The sequence below is a fragment of the Homo sapiens genome, chromosome 21, assembly GCF_000001405.40.
Source record: "Homo sapiens chromosome 21, GRCh38.p14 Primary Assembly".
In the NCBI taxonomy this organism is placed as follows: domain Eukaryota; kingdom Metazoa; phylum Chordata; class Mammalia; order Primates; family Hominidae; genus Homo; species Homo sapiens.
In genome coordinates this window covers 14,414,759-14,415,635 of record NC_000021.9, presented here as the reverse complement: position 1 = coordinate 14,415,635, position 877 = coordinate 14,414,759, and the positions used below count along the sequence as shown (strand labels likewise).

General features: G+C 35.5%; 1 annotated feature.

Annotated features, from left to right (window-relative positions):
• Positions 248–387: an enhancer, noted in NCBI's record as "active region_18272". NCBI's record gives its function as "activates an Ori minimal core promoter by ATAC-STARR-seq in GM12878 lymphoblastoid cells {active_cell/tissue: GM12878}" and the evidence as "EXISTENCE:reporter gene assay evidence [ECO:0000049][PMID:35858748]".

Sequence of the window (877 nt, the reverse complement as noted above, 5' to 3'; positions counted from 1 at the left end):
ACAGAATGCCTAAAGCGAGATGATTTATAAAGAACTTCTTTTATAAATAATTTATAAATAAACTTCTTTTACCTTATCAGGTAAAAGATAATCTATAAAGACACTTCTTTTACCTTATCAGTTGTTCTTAGGAACAAGTGAAACTTTTATTTCCAATAAATTCTATTTGATTTTTTTAAAGCAGTATTTTCTTCCTATTGCTTCAATTTCTTTGTTTGCATCTTAAAACAGAACCTTATTCTACAGTCTTCTCAGATTATTCTATTATACAAAATTCTAGAAGTTCTACTTCCCCTTTTTTTAAATCTCCTCTTGTGTTTTGAGCTATTTTGCGGGAGGATTTCCATGTGACCTGAATCTTGTACTCTAATTCCAGCATAGTTTCGCAAAGCCTTCTGCAAGAGATTCAAGAGTATCCCCCACCCAAGACCAATTTTTATGTTAATTCTTCAGCTTGGAGTGTCAGTGTCAGCAGTAAAGTGTAAATTTGGCTCCTTAATTTGTAAGCTGTAGAACCAGGGGTTTGATTTCTCAGAAAAGACCACTCTTGTTGGGTTTCATTTTTATTTTCACTCAGGTCCCAGATAGAAAAATCCCCCTTGTTGCCCTGTACTAGCAGATGTTTTCCTCTTTTCTCCCCTTAATATATAATTTTTCTCAATGGGATAGCTCTTCAAGAATTTTGGCTTGTGTACTGATCTTAGATCCAAAGGCCAGTCAAATCCTAGACTTCATATCCAGCCCCTGAAAAAGTCTTAAAATAGAACTCTTCAGTTACAAGGACTGAGACCCCCATAACCTGCATGGTGAGTTTATGCACCTAGCACTCTGGGGATCAGTTGGCACCTCATTTTTGGCACATAACATTTTCCTTTCT